Source organism: Homo sapiens, chromosome 18 (assembly GCF_000001405.40).
Source record: "Homo sapiens chromosome 18, GRCh38.p14 Primary Assembly".
Taxonomy (NCBI): Eukaryota; Metazoa; Chordata; class Mammalia; order Primates; family Hominidae; genus Homo; species Homo sapiens.
In genome coordinates, this window is record NC_000018.10 from 10342358 (window position 1) to 10361607 (window position 19250).

The 19250-nt window shown below is 43.3% G+C and overlaps 1 long non-coding RNA gene across 1 annotated transcript in view, besides 2 other annotated features; it reads right to left on the reverse strand.

The window, feature by feature from the left end:
- The window catches only part of LOC105371986 (uncharacterized), a 34569-nt gene that overhangs the window by 3532 nt on the left and 11787 nt on the right, over positions 1-19250 (reverse strand). The window lies entirely within an intron of this gene.
- Positions 1303-2130: an enhancer, noted in NCBI's record as "H3K4me1 hESC enhancer chr18:10343657-10344484 (GRCh37/hg19 assembly coordinates)". NCBI's record gives its function as "activates a minimal SCP1, AML or CMV promoter by ChIP-STARR-seq in naive H9 embryonic stem cells {active_cell/tissue: H9 hESC(naive)}" and the evidence as "EXISTENCE:reporter gene assay evidence [ECO:0000049][PMID:30033119]".
- Positions 2131-2957: an enhancer, noted in NCBI's record as "H3K4me1 hESC enhancer chr18:10344485-10345311 (GRCh37/hg19 assembly coordinates)". NCBI's record gives its function as "activates a minimal SCP1, AML or CMV promoter by ChIP-STARR-seq in naive H9 embryonic stem cells {active_cell/tissue: H9 hESC(naive)}" and the evidence as "EXISTENCE:reporter gene assay evidence [ECO:0000049][PMID:30033119]".

A 19250-nucleotide genomic window follows, 5' to 3' on the forward strand; every position in this document is an offset into this window, starting at 1 on the left:
GGATGTCAGCTGCTACTCATAAGTCCAAAGTCCTAACCTCATGACTCCAGCTGAAACCCTTTTCTTGAGGTAGCTCTCTATTTCCCAAGGCCTGCTGCACGTCTCCACTTAGGGACTCACAGGCATCACAAATTCAGCATGTCCATGCCTGAATGATCATCTTTGCTCCCAAACCTGCCTCTTCTCCTGTATCTTCTGACTCAAACACTGTCACACACTCAGTCATCCCAGCTAGCGTCTGTGGAGTCGTCCTTCTGGTGTCTTTCCTTCCCGGTCTCCCTTCCCTCACATCTGAGAAGTGCAAAAATCCCATGGGTGTCACTCCCTCTGTGCCTCTGCAGCTAGCCCCCTCTCCAGCCCCTCCCACTCTCCTCACCTTCTCCCACCTGGACAATCTCAGCTGCATCCTTAATGGAACCCATGCCACGGGCTCTGTAGGAATGGCCTTCCTCCTCTCCTCTGAGCATGCACGCATTTTCCTGCACCATCACATTTGCTGCGGGAGGCCTAGCTTCTCTGCAAAGCCATCTCCAAACCCTGTACTGGCCTCGCATGCCCCCTTCTGGGTTGGACCCTGAAAACTTGGGGCTGTAGTGATCTGATCTTCAGAGCTGGGATTGTGTGCTGCAGAGCAGATAAGTGGCATGTCGAGTGTGTTCCATAAATGCTGTTGATGTTAAGAGTGGACGAATGGGCCAGGCACGGTGGCTCATGCCTGTAATCCCAGAACTTTGGGAGGCCGGGGCAGGTGGATTGTTTGAGGTCAGGAGTTCAAGACCATCCTGGGCAACATGGCGAAACCCCATCTCTACTAAAAATACAAAAATTAGCCGGGCAGTGGTGGCGCATGCCTGTAATCCCAGCTACTTGGAAGGCTGAAGTGGGAGAATCGCTTGAGCCTGGGAGGCAGAGGTTGCAGTGAGTTGAGATTGCGCCACTGCATTCCAGGGTGGGCGGCAGAGGAAGACCCCGTCACAAAAAAAAAAAAAAGTAGATGAATGGGTGAACCTGGTAAGCTTTGAAGAAATAAGCACAGGATATAAAAATGAACATTAGCACTAACACACTGCTATAGACTGAATGTCTGTGTCCATCCTGTGCCGAGAAGAGGGATTTAAGGTGCTGCCTGGGGAGGCGGGAATGGGGTGGCCTGGAAGGTGACTTCTGAGTGAAGACTGGGGGAAAGGAGACTCCTTGAGGGACTGTCCAGGTAGAGAAACAGCACACACAAGGACCAAGGGGTGGCGGAGGCGTTCCTGGAGCTGCAAGTTACAGAAAAGGGGCCACTTGGCATCAGAGCTGGGCTGTGCATCAGAGAAAATATCAATGGAAAAATGAACCCATTCAACCTGGCTCCCAGAAAAATAAAATGTTGTGGACAGGGGAGGGAAGAGTGAGGAACAAGGAAGGAGAGAGCAACGGTGGGTGCCCTGGCAGGAGCTGCGACATCCCTGCCTTGGCCTCATTCCTGGCTGGACCTCGGAGTTTCCAGCTTCCTCCTGGGCACTCTGTGGCAGGCCTGTGCCGAGTGGGGGTGACCACATCACTAGGGATTTCACCAGAGCCTGGCCTCCCCTGCTGGAGGGGCCGGCGGGCTGCAGGTTCCCTGGGAGCACTGGCCGGTGCCCAGCGGGCGGGCCAGCCACTCAATCGGGCACTGTCCACACGCCCCTGTGGCCCACTCTCTGCAGGAACTGCACGAACCTTGGACAAGGGGCCTCAGAGAAGAAGTTGGCCACTAGCCCTGCTGTGGCAAAGCAAATTTGAAGGGGGGGATTATTTCCAGTAACAGAAAGAAGTGGCTCAAATGGTGAGTTCACAGAGGGAGACTTGGTGCTTTGGAGGTGTCTGCAGCAGCGAGGAGAACCGCCCTGAACCTGTGCAGCCTCAGCTTCTGCCCCTTGCAAGCAGGGCACATGCCTTAGTGGTGATAACAGTGTGTTTGCCCGTCGCACATAGCCCCTGACTGGTGCTCAGCCTTGCCCTGTGTGAGGCCAGGGAAGGAAGTGCATGTTCAAAGACAGCATGGCCGAGTCCACGGATGACAGGGACCCAGCCATCAAGCGCCGGCCCCTGTGATCAGCCCCAGGGGCCCTGCACTGTCCCATCTACAGCAAGTGCACCCTTTCCCTCTGCTGTCCCTCGTTCCTCACAGCTCCCCCACTACTCTGTTAGCGCCACTCTGACAACTGCAAAGCGCTGAGCATTAAACTCCTGATGCCCTCCTGTCCCACACGATTAGTGTGAATTCACTTAATCAGATTCTTTTTCGGAACTTGCCTGACTGAGAGAGTGGGAATGTTAAAGTCTTGAGGAGGAGGAAAGGGCAGTTTTCAAGCTGGGGAGCTGGGGCCCTGGGCCATAGCAGAATGCCTGGGAGGTGGGGTGGGGTCTTTCCGGATGTACTCGAGGCTGTGCTAGGCACCCAGGGCCATGGGCCTGGTGCCCGTGGTCCACAGATCAGACTTGGAACAGCAGTAGTGTGGGCTCCAGCATGGGACTGCCGGGTCTCCCTCCACTCCATCACTCAGAGAAAGATGCGAACAGGAGGTTATTGAGTTCCCGCAGCCTCTGTGTCCTGATCTGCAAAGGCAAGTGCCAAGAGTGCCCTCTCAAGGGGCCACTTTGAGGAGCAAATGAGATGAATTCTGCACAATGCTGAGCATAGCACCTGGCATCAAGGATTCCCTTTTGTTGGGTTGGGCATCATAGTAACAGGTAAAGGCTGCAAGACCAGGGGCTGGATTCCAGCGCTCAGGGTGGAACAGGAGGCTACAGGCTCCATCCCTGCCCTCCCCAAATCTGAGAATACGGACAGATGAGTGGGGCGGCTGACAGCACCTCTCCCGTGGCCCTGCAGTGGGTGTGCTTGCCTGTTGTCCTGCCTGCCCTCTGCTTAATCACAAGGCCTCCTCACCAGTGACAGTGACATCTCCTATGGGAAGGGCGGAAGCCTGCTTCAAAGAACGTATCTATAATCCTGAGATACTGAGCTTTAAATAAATTAATGTGGCACTGTGTTATCAAAGCTGAGATGCTATCTATTGGAAGACACACCATTAATTTATGTTTTCAAGAGAATAAAAATATATTATCAGTTAATATTTATGTTTTCAAGAGAATAAAAATATATTATCAGTTAAACTGATTGATCGGAAGTTACATCCTGAATTCAGAGATGTTAAGACACCGGGAGGGAGAGTGTATTTGAGAACTGAAAAAATGTGCTGTATCATTTTGGCTTAGATACTGTCTTATGTTACATGTGATTATAGATGCAGTCGTAACACATTTGAAAATATCTACAACACCTAATTTCAGAACATTTTCTCTAGTAACTTCTTCTGTGAATTTGACAGCTTCTCCCTCTATTAAGTTTTATCAGCCATGGTAGGGGCACCACGATGGTGTGGGGTGTGCCGAACTTCTCCTGCGTGTCCAGGGCGTGAATGTCCTGGGCTTCTGGAACCTGTGTCATCTAGCCTGGGCCTGGGGCCTGATGGGCAGTGATGTGAAGGAGAACCCGTGTTGACCACTCCTCCTTGACCATCAGAGAGGAGGCAGGACTGGGCTCCTGGGCCACAGGGTGCTGGCAACCAGGTGTGATTAGCTCCAGCGGTGGTGAGCTGGAGAGGGGAACCCAACTCCAGGTTCTGGGGACATGACTGGACCTAGGTCTGATTCCAGCAATTTGAGCCAGCAATCAGCGGGTGAAAGGCCTCAAAACCAGTTGTATTTTCTAGATATTATTAACTTCAGGATTATTTTCTAGCCATTATTAAATTTAGTATATATACAGGTGCACACACTTGTATATATACATCCATACTCACACATATATTGACACACACTCTTCACTCTTCCACACACAGCTTATACACAAGCATACACAACTCACACACACTCAAGCGCTTGGACCACCAGAACAAAACATCCCGTTTGAAGAGGAAAAAGACCTCTCAGATGTCTGAAGATGGAAGGATATCAGCATAAGAAACGAATCATTCCAGAGCCCTTTCTTTTTCAGAACTCAAAAAAGCAAATTTTATCTGCTTTGAAGTAAATCCATTTTCTAGGACAAAAGAAGGAAAACCCCTTGATAGCCTAAGAAAGTTGCTGGTGTGTTGTGGAAAATCTTGGAGCTAGGAAGAGCCTTGGGAATCACACACCTAACACGCAAAATGAACTTGCGCGCACACGCACACACACAGGCACACACACACACACACACACATCCCACAACTCACTCACAAACTTGCAATCCAATCCAAGACAGCCTGCAGATTTCTTTCTCTTGATAAAGAAACAATGCATTTTTTTTCTTCGTGTACAAACCTAAAAGCACGGTGGTAATTACAAAATTATCAATCCCAGTTCAAGATATTTTTCTTGTTAACCATAATATGACAAGGACGCTTACATGGAAATAGAAATAGATTTTTAAGGAAAGCCTTGCTTGCATTTTTTGCTTTGGCAAACGACTTGTGTTTACTTGTTTTCTGCATTCATGCCTGAGAATGAAACGTTTCTCTCAAAGGCCAAGCCAGAAACAATCTCAGCCCTTGATGCTGTGCCCCTGGTGAGACCTCGGCCATGTGCAGAAAGGCCCACAACTGACCGCTGGGAGGCCCAGGCTGTGGCAGGGGAAGGCCATCCTGGAGGAGTCAACCCCGGTGAGAGGGCAAGCCTCCACGTGGCCGTGCCTAGGAATAATGCCATGAAGCAGGCATGCAGCCCTGTGGCGGAGCCACTAGTTTTTCACCCACCAACACTGATTATCCATGTTGCTGATGAAATCCATCCCTAGGCCCGAAGAAATCCTTGGGAGTTTGGGGTGGTGTGGGTGGGGTGGGGAGGAGGGCAGGATTCGGGTGTGGGGTTCGGGCTGAGGGACAAGGTGAGCCTTCTGGACGCTCATGATTGTCGGACACAGTCACCTGGTCCACTTACGCATCCCCAGGCAGGAGGGGCCCACGAGGACTGTGGGCCGGAGCCTGTATCTGCCTTTATCCTTGGGTTCCTGAACTTCCCTGAACTCTGGAAGCACCTGGGGTGTAAATAGAAAATCCTGGACAATGCCTCCAGAGCTTTTGATTCAGCAAGTCTCACATTTTTAATAAACACAGTACATGATACATGATTCTGGTATAGTTGGTCTGGTTTTCAAATTTGAGCTATTTCCTTACCTAGAAGGAATTCCTCAAGGAAACAAGAAAAGAAAGTAGGTAGAATACAAATTGTTCAACTTTTTTCCTTGTTACAAATCTGAAAAGGCAAGTGATATATTTAGCTCTAGGTTGGTTTTAATTCCTGATGATTTTCCTCTCCCATTCATCTCTGGCTAATGCGTCTGTACTAAATTGATCAATATCATCCTTTATTTGCCTTTGTGTTTATATTGAGCCTCATTCCAGAAAGAATTTAAAAGCCTTTTACAAACCATATTGTATATGAGCTGAAATAAAGTTTACAAAAGGGATTGGGAAAATATGTACTCTAAGGTAAAGCTGCTCAGCTTCAGTAAAGCTGTCCATCATAAAGTAGAAACATTTGTCACATAACTCTAATACTTCACTACTTCATAAAATGGGGACCCTAAGTATCCTTTGTAATCATTTCACAGCATCAATGTTACCGAAATGTTCTAAAAACTTTCAAAATTCAAAAAATAACTTTTGATAGAGAACTAATATTATCAGTGCAAAAGGCTGGAAAAAATAAAGAGAAGTATAAATGATTGAAGACATGAACTGTAATATTTATGTGTGCTTCCTTCAATATAGATATACATAGTCATCCCTTCGTATCCGTGGGTGATTGGTTGCTGGAGCCACCTTGGGTACCAAAATCTGTGGATGTTCAAATCCCTAATATAAAATGTATTTGCATATAACCTACAAACCTTCTCCCATATACTTTAAATCATCTCTAGATTACTTATAATATCTAATACAATGCCCACACATCGCTTGACTCTCATGGATTTAACATGGTACTCGGCACGTGGTAAGTTGAAGTTTTGCTTTTTGGAACTTTGAGGAATATTTTTCTTCTAAAAACTTTTGATTCATGTTTGGTTGAATCCATAAATGTGGAGCTCATGAATGCAGAGGGCCAACTGAACATGGATATGCATATCTGTATCCATAAAGACTGGATGGATGGACCACAGTGGGAATTATGTTAAAATAAGGTCCTTTGTTTTCAGTTCTGCTTTATATGCAGTGTCCAGAATAGGCAAATTTGCAGAGAAAGTAGATTAATGTTTGCCTGGGAGTGAGGAGTGGGAAGGGGAGGGGAGAGGGGTTGAGGAGTGACTGCCAAGGGGCAAAAGTTTCCTTTTAGGAAAATGTTTAGGATAAATTGTTCTAAAACTAGATTATTGGGATGATTGAGCAACTCTGTGAATTTACTAAAAACCATTAAATTACACACTTTAAATGGGTGAACTATATAGTGTGAATTACATATCAATTCTGCTAAAGCTGTTAAACATATTTTAGCCAGCGACATACCAAGATGTCATAAAATAAATTCCATATTTTCTTAGCAATTTTCTTCCATTACTTTGAAACATAAAATAAAAATCAGTTTATGTTCGTTCATTATATAAATTGTGAATGTGTAAGGGTGATCACTTTGCTCCACCTGGAAACCTTACAAAGTATTTTAACACAATGATGTACGTCCTTGGGGGCTGGGGGGAGACTTTTCCTGGATTTTAACACACGTAGCAACAACAGATATGGACAGGTTCATTCATTCATTCATTCATTCATTCAGGATTGAGTGCCTTCCGTTTGCCAAGCCCTGTCTAGATGCTGATGGAAGTGCTGCCTTCACTGAGATTATGGGGGTCACAGTCACAGCCCTGGTGGGACACAAGCATGTCTCTTCAGCTTTTCTTCTTCTACTTACCAATAAAATAATTTGTTAAATAAAATATGAAAGGCCTGTTTGAAAGAAAATAAATTAGGCAGGCATAGATTCCTAGAATTTCACACTTTTTAAGGTCTATAGCAGTTTTTAAAAACTCAACCATTTTACAAACAAAGGAATTAAACCATGGGAGTTCAGTGATTTGACCAAGGAAATGAGCCTGTAGCAAAATGAAAACTTCTAAAAGCCACAAACTTATGTATACAACAAGGCAAAAAAAATCATTTTTGTCTCTCGAGGCATATTTATAAGGCAGACCTTCTGGGAGGGTCCCAATTATACGCACTTTCATTCTTTTCCAAAAGGCCATTTAAAACATATAAGTATATAGATCTATTTTTATTCCTTTGTTCAGGGTTAGAAAACATAAATTCCTAAGTCCAAAGTGATGGGTGTTTTAAAGCATGCTTTTGATTCCTTTGTCAGGCTGTATTGTGGGTTTATGAAATACTGTCACCAAAGCCACATTCTTTTAAAAAAGAGTAGGTGGTTGTGTCTTTGGAGCCCCTGTCCCTTGCCCCTGCCAATGTCATTAACGGACTAAGCCCGAACCTCTGCTTTACTCAAAAACTTTAATCACTCCCTGTGTTTCTCAGCCCCTTCATTATTACCAGCAATTAAACTTCAGAAGTAACGTCATCTTTTTGACATCTGGAAGATATTACTACAAGTCTCCTTTCTCTCCCACCAAACCCCACTCAGAGCCTGAGCGGAGACCCTAAGGTTGGGGTCTGTGAGGGGAGACTGGGGTCAGCACAGGGGGCTGCCTCAGCTGAGTCCCAGGTCACTCCATGCGTGACTCAAGATGAGGCATCCAGCCCCTAGGGTCTCAGGGCCCCACCTGTAAGCTCTCGCCTGTGAAGGGACAGATTCTGCTCTCTGTGTTTCTCAATCTGACACTTTTAAACTCGGGGGTATATGAAGGCGCAAAGGAATTCAGAGAACATCAGATATCCTTCCTGCAAAGTCATTATTTGATAGAAATGTAAAACGTAGTCTAAGTGTCTTACATGTGAAAGTTTCGGGTTCAGCCCAGAGCCTCCTGGGGCGCCCTGCCCTGTGGCCACCCCGGGCACCTTAGTGGATTGCTTTGGGAGCGCTGCAATGGTGCCAGGCCTCCTCAGCAATAAAGTTTGAAGACGCTATGAAGAAAGGATAAAACTTTTACAGAGGCCTTAAAGAAGGTCTTCATTTCATAAATGAACAATTGCCCAGAGAAACTTACAGGCAAGAGTAGCCCTTTTATCTAAACTGAGATCTGGATTTCAATCCAAGGGATATTTAGTGTGAATGACAAAGGAGCCTCTGCCGCCTTTTCCAGGCTGTGTCTTCTCAGCAGTCTGAGGGCAGATTCTCTGCAGCTCCCCTGAGCCGAGCCACCAGGAGTTGACAGTCCCAGAGAGGCCTGGGGGAGGCTTTGTGGGTGTCTGGACATAGGGCTTTTCCAGTGCGGGCTGCATTCCTTCCCATTCCAGGGGTCCCTGGCACCTCAGCTCAAGCTGCGCGGTATGGACAGTCTCCCTGGGTAGCTGACGTGTGGATCTGGTATGTTTTTATCGGAAAGGGGAGCAAATACTGCCAGAACAGCAACCAACCAGTTTTTGAAGCTGGCTACTGTCTTAGGGAGGATGGAGAACGCTGGGGAGAGAGAGGATCCCACAGTAGGAAATGAAGGAGAGGTGAGGCTAGCAGGCCCAGTCCTCCGAACTCAGGACGAGCTCTCCTGGGAAGAGGATGAAGGTGTGTGCCCCCACACCGGGCAGTCCTCGGAGAGGAGGGGTCAGCATGGACTCTGTCTCCGCCACTACCTGCTGCTACAAGTACTGGAAACACCTTGAGGTGGAATTCCATTCTCTTTCTCTTTCATTTGTGCGTTTTCATTCCTTCGTTTTGTACTTCAGTCTACGCATGGTTTCTCTGCCTGTAAACTTTGCTATGACAATAATACATGTCATTGTTCCTCCATTTTTCACAGTGCTTTTCCTATATTGATGGCAAATGCTTTGTGACTATTTTTAGTGACCTCATCCTACTCCATCATATGCCATGGTATTTTACACTCAAAGATGTTCACAACAATTTCTCATTCCTTTGCAATGAGACTTTGGCACTCCTCCCTTCAACAGGGGGTGTCTATTCTCCCACCCTTTGAATCTGGGCTGCCTCGTAACTAGCTCTAAATAACAGAATGTACTGGAAGTGATGCTATGAGATTTCCAGTGCTAGGCCTCAAGAAACCCTGTTGTCGTGCCCTGACAGCCGAGCCTCCTGGAGGATGGGCAACTGCAGGGAGGAGAGCGGAGAGGCAGCACAGCTGTCAGGCATGTGAGAGGGGTCTCCTGGGACCCTCCAGCCCATCTCACCCTCCAGCTGCATGGAGCCCATGAGTGAGCCTGGTGACACAAGGCCGAGAAGTCACCCAGCCAAGTCACAGAACTGTGAGAAACAGTAAACTGCTGTTGTTTGAAGCCAATACGTTTTAGGGGTAGTTTGGTGTGTAGAAAAAGCTAACTGAAACTAATGGAAAAATTGTGAATTCAACAAATTTATAATTCCACCCTACCTAACCCTAGGGAGTATTTATCCCTAGTAGCCGGCTGAATTTAGGAATTTATCTGATAGTGACAAAATGGGTGGAGAGACTTAAAGAAGAGAAGATTGTAAGACACAAGCTCTCGAGGTGGCTGCTCACCGAATTCTTGAAAAGTGCAAGCTCACACATGGTAACAAGCTAGGTGGTGTTCAAGGGCGTCAGTGTTGGCACCAGCCAGACATGAGTTTCACTCCTATCTCTGCCACTTATTTAGTTAGCTGCATGACCTCTAAATCTCTCAACTTGGTGATCTTTAAAATAGAAATAATAATATCAAACTAGGGTGCTGTTGTGAGGATTAAATGGGAGTATATAGGAAATACTCAGCCTGGTTTCTGGCACACAGCACTCCCTGTCACCAGGCACCTCGCCCAGGGTCCTATGGGCAGTGGGTGAGGGCTGTTGTTGTCCCTGTCCCTGTCTGACTTCGAATTGTATGCTCTTTCAGCTGCACTTTGTCCTTAACCCCTGAGGCTCAGCCTGGAAAGCAATGAGATATACTTATTCCATGTGTATGCTCATAATTATTGATTCAGTGAATTTTAACTGAATGCCTGCTGAGTGCCAGGGATCAAGCTCTGCTCCAGGATGATGTAGCCAGGCAACATGCTATGGTGTTCTGTCGGGGGAGACAGATGATAGGAGATAAATCTCATTATACTCCACAATTAGTGCTGGCAGGAACAGGACCAGGCCCTCGGGAGGTGAGGAGGAGGAGGCCCGACCTTGACCAGGTGCAGGGACAATTGAAGGAAGCTTCCTGGGGAGGTAACACTTGAACCAGGTAAATAGGAGTTAACTAGGTAAAAAGATGTGTGTGCATGGCAGGGGTTGGGGGGAATCATGGACTATTCTGGGCATAAGGACAACAAGGTTGAAGGTCCTAAAGCCAGGAAGAATACAGGCCTGCCTTCTGTGGAGGCCCCAGTAGAGAATGCAGCTGGAAGATGAAGCAAGGATGAGGCTGGCCTCCAGGGAGACAGCAGAGGGAGCAGGGCCAGAGCATCCAGGCTTCAGGGCCCCACTCAGTACTCAAGTCTTTATCTTAAGTAGGAGGGCAGCCATTGAGGGATTCTAAGTAGGCGAGTACCATAAACAAAAGGAGAGTGTCTTGGGATGGCTGCCCTCCATCCTTCAAGAAACGTCTACTAGAGATGTTGGCCATGGTCTTGGGAGATGGGAAGTATTCCGACTCACGCCAAGGCCGTCATGCTACTCTTGCACTTAGTAGGCACAGAATAAGAATTTGTTGAACAAAAGAATGGATAAATAAACGACTCTTCAGTGGTAAGCTTTTAAACACCTTGGTGGGCTATGATGGAAAGAATCCGGAGGGACTCTAAGTATGCCTTCTCAAATTATACCAAGAAGGGGCAATTTAGGCAGCCTTTGATCAGAGAAGGACCTGGGGTGCCAGAGGCAGTAAGAGAAAGGGACTATCTTAAGGCCAGAGCCCCCAAACTCTACCAAAAAGCATGTAAGCTTTTCTTTTCATTATTTTCCGCTTTTCTCTAGTTTCTCTATTTTGCAAATTATCGGTTAAGTCTCCTTTCAACATCTGTTTATAAGGTGCTTAGAAATTCTGAAATGAAAGTCATTGTGAAAATGCTGGAAGCTGTTGTCTTCTCCTCTTTGTTTAATGTCTTCTGATTCTTTATCCAACCCTGACCCAATCTTCTCTAATGTGGATCACTGTCATTTAAAAGAACCATCTATTGCTTAAAAATAGAAAGAGGTAAACTATGCTGTTTTGGTGCCAATTCTCCTAAACACAAGTCACTGCTGAGCAATAAAGGAAAGGAGCTTTTCCGAACATCTTTTGTATGTCTCCCTTAGAGAAACCCCACTTTTCCTTGCTTCCCTATGAGATCAAATGTACAGACAGAGAAATATGCAGATAGACATTGCGGGGAGAAAATCAGGAGAAGAAACCCACTAAAAATAAACACAGCTCTTTCTACCATATATTTTTAAAGATTCATCCATGTAATTCAAGCTCAGTCATTTAGAAGCAGCCCTGCTTGATACCACATGGCATTAAAATCCAGCTGCTATGAAATGAGTCACCCTGTAAGAGCAGGTTGGACTGCAGGCTATGTCAGAAGACACTTACATTCCTCTCTGAAATCTACTCTTTTGATAATGAAAGGGGTGAAGAGTTTAGAGTCACCATTTATGATGTCCTGGAATGTTCTCTTAAAGGAAGAGAAAAGATCCTTCAAAAATGCACTTGAGGATTCAAAGACAAGGACACGGGGACAGGGAGACTATAAAATTGCCTCTTCTGGGATAACAAGGGGCTGAGTAGCCTTCTCCTTTACTTGGTGACTTAACGTTGAAAAGAAAAAGAAAAAGAAAGCTTTATTTCAGCATTAGGCACATGGTTGGCATTCACCATGTGTTTATTAATAATAATGACTTATCTGTGCCAAAATCCCTTTAGAGCAAATTGTCTCACATCCAAATCCCAGAGTGAGCCAAAGGATTTCAATGCCCTAGCAGGAAGCTGGAAGGCTCTGGAACAATTCACTCATAGCAAACTCCAGCCCACACCATAGAGCATTTTCTCTCAGACACTCAGCCCCACCTCCACCCATACCCCACAGCTAGTGGGGCGACCCCTGTATTTCTTTAGTTTGTAAAGGGAAGTCACTTTTTCTCACCTATACCAGGCTTTCTGCATTTCCTTCACAAGACAAACAAGGTTCTCCCTTTGTTCTTCCTTCTGAGAGTATGAACAAAGATAGCCTTCATAAAAGAGGAAATTGTAGCAGTGTCCCCATGACCCAATGGTGATGAGAATGCTGGGTGACTTCCCTGTGCCTGTTCTTCTGTGAGAGTGCTCAGTACCCCCCTACAGGGCCATTTCCAATCCCTCTTCCCTGGAGTAAGCAGGACATTCACTTACTTCCAGCCATGACTATTTTAGTGAGTGCCCATGACTTTGGAATAATGTAGTCACCCAACACATTTTTCAAAGTTTGCAGATGAGCAAATCTAGGCCACAAATTTCTCTACTTTTTTTTGTCTCTCAAAGATAAATACAAGATGATAGGTGCTGGGCTTGGTGAGGATGAGTGCTATTCATCATGGATAAGATTTGGACTCAACTTGTGGAACTTGGCTCAAACTGCTCCCTGCTCCTTCCTTGAGTAGCAAACCCAACTTCTTATCCAAAAGGAGCAGATTCTTATTGTCACTCGGATTGCCAGACCATAATGGATTTTTCCAACTTCAATGCATTTTCTACCCCAAACACATTTGCTCTCATGAACACATACAGCTGTCCACAGCACCCTAACTCTAAGCAGTTTCAATTGCCAACATTTGTCAAAATGGGAGAGGCTGTGTCTGTTTTCTTCATAGGTACAATAGAGAAAAAGTTTGCTTTGTTTTTGTAATTGTCATTTAAATATATTTTCAATGATGGCAATTTTACTGAGCTTTGTTGTGTATTACACACTTAGGATAAATGTGTCAGTAACAGCCAAGGAGAAAGGAATTGCATTTTTTTACAGATGGCGTTCAATTTATTTCCAGTAAGAGCATGGCTCCATCTCCCTAATACCATCAAAAAATTTATTCAACAAATTAGGCCCTCAATATGGGCCAGACACTATGCTATAACCCTTGAGACACAAAAGTGAGCAACCAATATGCAGTTCCTGCCCTCAGAAAGCTTACAGTCAGCCTCATAGCAAAGATAGCCCAGGAAAGTAGGAATAAAATGCAATTTCAGTGTTCCGATTCTAAATCTGGATGTTGGCTACACAAGTGTGTTCTATTTGGGAAAATTAAAAACCCGTACACTTACTTAAATATACTTGTCTCTATGTGAGTGAAGATTATATATAATCTTATCTAAAAAGGTAAAGATACTTCTTAAATCTAGTGTATACAATAGAAGCGGCCATTTTTCCAGTCTCAAAAATTCATTCCCCTAAAAAACCCACCATCCAGGGTAGGGGATGATAAACACACAGAAAGGAAAATATGAATAAGATAAAGAGATTTATGTGCAGCTAAAATTACCATTCATAATAGGCATGAACGTAAAAAAATACATAAAGGTGAGAATTTCCTAGATGAAATTATAAGGTGCTTAAGAGATTGTAGTCAATTGAACCGTTTTAAGAGGAGTGCATCTGAAAGTAAGGCATTCTAGGGCTGCAGGAATACACAACAGGGAGTGAGTGTCTGGTGCTGGGCAGATTTCTGCTCTTCAAGAGAAGCGACTGGACAGCAATGTATCTGGTGCTGAGGCCAGCCTGGCCAGAATAACCAGGTGAGTCCAAGCAAAGCATCTGGGATCCTGCCATGGTTTAGGAAAGTATTAGAACCTCAAAATTGAGGCCAAAGGCCATGGAGAGGTAAGAAGTACCCAGGTGGCTGAACAGGTGCTGAAGTGTTTGTGGGAGGTCTTTCTGTTTATGATGAGGTCCCAGCCGGAGACTGCAACGAAAAAAGGAGTAGTGGCTGCATAGGACCAGTTAAAAAAAAGAGCAAAAGGGTTACGAAAAGGCTAAGTAAAGAGGAAACTAAATGGGAGAGGACCAAGGAAGTAAAGCCCAGGTAGATTACAGAAAAACAATTAAGCTGAAACTCACTCTGGGACGTCAAGGCATCCCATTGATAGAGGGGCCCAGATAGAGGGGCAGGGCTTGAATTTATGCTCCCACCTAAAACAATCAAAATACTGAGAAAAGCATTTGAAACAACAGTTTTCAGGCATTGCACAAGAGGCAGGAAAGGGTAATCCCTGAGATATGAGAAATGGCATATACAAACCGACTATGGCCAGACTGCATGGAAACATAGAACTCTGACACACAACTGGCAAAGCCAGCCCAGGAATTCAGACTACCACCTGCAGTGAGGAGCCCAGGAAGCCAACCCACTGTCTATAGTAACCAATGCAGAAAGCCACCCACTGTTTACAGTAACCAGTTCAGGAAGCCAGTCCACCCGCTGCAGTAACCAATGCAAAAAGCCAACCCACTGTCTACAGTAACCAGTTTAGGAAGCCAACTCACAATCTGCAATAACCAATGAAGAAAGCCACCCAGTGTCTAAAGTAACCAGTTCAGGAAGCCAATCCACCCTCTGCAGCAACCAATGCAGAAAGCCACCTACTGTCAACAGTAACCAGCCCAGGAAGTCACACTACCATCTACAGTAACCAGTGCAGGAAGCCAACCCACCATCTACAGTAACCAGCCCAGGAAGTCACACTACCATCTACAGTAACCAGTGCAGGAAGCCAACCCACCATCTACAGTAACCAGCCCAGGAAATCACACTACCATCTACAGTAACCAGTTCAGGAAGCCAAACTATGATCTACAGTAACTGGCCCAGGAAGCCAACCCACCATCTATAGCAACAAGCCCAGGAAGCCAGGCTATGATCCCTAGCCACCATTCCAGGAAGCCAGCCAATAACCTTGGTGTGGTTTGGACCTGCTTCCCCACCCAAATCTCATGTCAAATTGTAATCCCCAGTGTTGGAGGTGGGGCCTGGTGGGAGGTGATTGAATTAGGAGGGTGGATTTTCCCCTTGGTACTATGTCACAGTAGTGAGTGAGTTCTCACAAGATCTGGTTGGTTAAAAGTGTGTGGCACTCCACCACCTCTCTTGCTCCTGCTCTGGTCATGTAAGACGTGCCTGCTTCCTTCCCCTTCACCATCTGCCATGATTAGAAGCTTCCTGAGGCCTCCCCAGTATCAGAATCGGTATGCTTCCTGTACAGCCTGCAACCATGAGCCAATTAAACCCCTTTTCTTTATAAATTATCCAGTCTTAGGTATTTCTTTATAGCAATGTGAAAGCAGACTACAAACCTCTACAACAATTTGTGCAAAATGGCCATGACTTTATTAACTGAAAACTTACCTAATTTTTGCCCCTACCCTCAACTTAGGACCAACCAGAGAAATCCAAGTATTCACCTCTAACAAATCATCCAGGCTATCCCACTTCTGTAGCCTGCCCACAGCTTTCCCAAGCCAACAGCCTCCAACTGGGGCATTTGCCTATTCTCCTCTGGGTTGCTTGCATTTATTTCCACCTAGGGGAACAATGAGGTGAGCCCCATGAATACCCCAGTCCATTGCCTGCAAGGAGTTTCCATGCCACAACACAGGGAGGGTGCTAAAGTGAAGCCCGCCAGTCTCCCAAAGTGGAACAGACAGAGCTCCACGGAGCCTGGTGAGGTCAGGGTGACTGCAGTCAATGGAGCAGAATCTGGGAGAGGAGAGAGCTGTACAGAAGAGACTAGAGGAAGGTATGCAATTGCTCCAGCTACCACTGTGGCAACTGGAGCTCAATCTCCTGGGCAGATCTCAGAGTTACCCACATCAGAAAAATGAGACCAGCAGTGGCTGAGGGTTACTTCTTAAAACCAACTTTCCAGCATTTTTGGCTTGCATTTCTTCTAGGATAGAAAAAAAAAAAAAAAGCCCTAGAAAGAATCACAGTTGGAATATGGGTGAGGCACTAACAATGCCTGCATTATCTTTGTATTTCCAATTTGCCAGAAGTTTTTTTTTCTCTTCCTGAGCTGGTACTGAACTTAATTAAATGTTCTTATATATTTATTGAAATCAGAAGTTCTGTTTTTCTACTTTATTTTGTTGGCGTTATCAGTTACCCTGATTCCTTCTTAAATGATAAGTCACACCTTGTTTCCTAGAATGAGCCCAACTTGTTTGGATGGATTATCCTTTTTTATATACTGTTAGTATTCACTATATACTTTAAAATATACTTTATAAGCTATACGCCATCAAGTGTATATAATTTAAACTATCTGCTAATGAGGGTTATTACGGCCTGAAATATTTTTCCTTCTAATGCCTTTATCAGGTTTTGTTATTAAGTTATTCTGGCCTCATAAAATGGGCTGGAAAGTAGTTCCTTTTCTATTTTCTGGAAAAGTTTGTGTAAGATTATAAGAAGAATTTTCCAGTACATCCTTTTAGACCTGTGGTTTGGGGAATGGATTTATTTACAAATTCAATTTAATTTTAATTAGTACATTTTACTTACTAAAAATAGTATTAGCTGGTTATCTACTTCTAGAATCTGCTTTTGTTAAGTTGTACTGTTCAAGGAATTTTATCTAAATTTTTTTAAAAATGGAATTATGTCTTAATATGACTAAAAGTTGACAAAGTGTCAAAGATTACTGAATATAACTTTTATCGCATATGTCTAGATGTTCTGTTAATGGACAGATAGTGTTTCAAAGAGTAAAACAATAAAGACCAACATTATTCATAAATTATATTTTTTTTTATAAAATTTATTTTCTTGTTTTACTCTCAATGAAGTCACTAGTTGTGCTTTCATAATTGAAAATTTTATAATATATAGTTTGTTTTCTGTTGATACTAATGCCAAATGAAACCAGTTTTCTTGAGCCTTTATAATTTAGATTGATTTTAATTAATTCCAATTTGGAGAAACTACTCTGCAGCAGCAACTGGAATTTTCAATAAAAAATTTAAAGAAATTCTTAGATTCAGAAATGAATCATAAATGTGACATATCATGATTTATATACTATATCAGGTTTTTGTGATACATTATTTTTATCATGAAAAATATTATGAAATAATTTAATTTTAATTATATATCATTTAATATGTGATTTTTTTACCATCTATATTTTAGCTTTTCTTCTAATGTCTGAATTTGGAGACTTCATGAAGACAGTCGAAAATATCAGTTAATATTGCACAATTTGTTTAACTTTCTCTAAGTAAGAGTATATTGTACTTTGACCTTTAATAGCCAGACCACAGTCTCTATAGAAATAAGTTTTGGGGCCCTTTGTATGTAAATCTGTTCATTTTTAGTCATGTAAACATTTCATTTTTGTTTAAATTTCTTTGTATTTTATTGGAATATGGCTCTTTTTGTAAGCTTCACATGCAATTTCATTTTTGTTCCACATTTTATCATGAATATTACCAGAGACACAGCAAAGTTGAAAGCATTTTTAGTAAACACCTATATACTCACCACCTTGATTCTATTAATACCTTTAACATTTTACTATGTTTTATATATTTATCTATCAATTCATCACCTATCCATGTGTCAACTCATCTTATTTTTTGATACATCATTAAGTAAGTTATAGATACCAGAACATTCCCTGCTAAATATTTCATCTCATGAAATTTCCTTTGATTTTAAAAACATTTCCTTAAGTATCTTTACGTTTTAATACTTTTTTTTTGAGACAAGGTCTCACTCTGTCACCCAGGCTGAAGTGCAGTGGTGCGATCAGGGCTCACTGCAACCTCCGCCTCCTGGGTTCAAGCGATTCTCCTGCCTCAGCCTTCCTAGTACCTGGGACTACGGGTGCCCACCACCGTGCCCGGCTAATTTTTGTGTTTTTAGTAGAGACGGGGTTTCACCATGTTAGCCAAGCTGGTCTCAAACTCCTGACCCATTAAAGATAATGTTGATGATTTGCTGTAAAACACTCTGACTATAGCCACAAAAGGTGTTCTTTCAGGCTAGCATATAGAGACTACACTTTTTCCCTACATTTAAAAGATTTTGGTATAAAATAGAATCCTAAAATTTCTGCCACTTTCAACCAATGAATAAACCATAATTAATTTGAGCACATTGTATTTTGCTGGAAACATTCTCATACTGTCTGATGATGCCATGGCCATTTTCCAGGATGATTATTCAATAAACAGAGCCAAGTTTCTCAGGTTTCATATTTTCCACTTCAGTTTGCCTATTTCATCTCTAATTGACAAGTCAGAGTTGCGATAATTGCCTTCAGGTTGACTTTTCAAATTGTTATATTCAAAACCAGTAGTTAAATCTTCATTTAGTAAAGATTATGAAATTGTGAGGATTTCACATGATCTTATAAACTTGTGGATTTGATGAGAATAATTTTATTGCTCATATTCCTTGTTTTAATAAATGATTAAATATAAATAAAAATGCCAAATGCTTTGTTCATATTTAATGCAAGTTATGTTCAGTAAAATATCAGCTTATTTCTATTTGTTCTAGTTGTTTTTTTTTTTTTTTTTTGAGACAGAGTCTTGCTCTGTTGCCCAGGCTGAAGTGCAGTGGCCTGATCTTGGCTCACTGCAACCTCTGCCTCCCGGGTTCAAGCAATTCTCCTGCCTCAGCCTCCTGAGTAGCTGGGATTACAGGCGAGTGCCACCACACCCAGCTAATTTTTTGTATTTTTAGTAGAGGCAGGGCTTCACTGTGTTAGCCAGGACTGTCTCGAACTCCTGACCTTATGATCTGCCCCCGTCGGCCTCCCAAAGTGTTGGGATTACAGGCGTGAGCCACCGCACCCAGCCTATTTTTTTCTAGTTTTTAACCATTTAAGAATACCTCCGTTTTGGAAATGTTCATTTTTTCCCTATTTTTTCTTTCTCAGGTCTATTTGCATTTTTATTTCCATTGTAATCACTACTTATATTCATTGCTAATAATCTAAAGGATTAATATGTCATTGTTTTAAAATATAAATGTATTTTCATCAATATTTGTATGTACATAAAGTAAATGACAAAATAAAACATTTGAAATTCTTTTATATAGTTTCAAAAAGTTATTTTTTTCTAAAATGTTAAAAATTATCCATCAATATTCAAAAGCAAAATACAAATTACAATTGATAAATATTAGTACTCCAATTAAAATGTTATTTTTTGAAATGTAAATA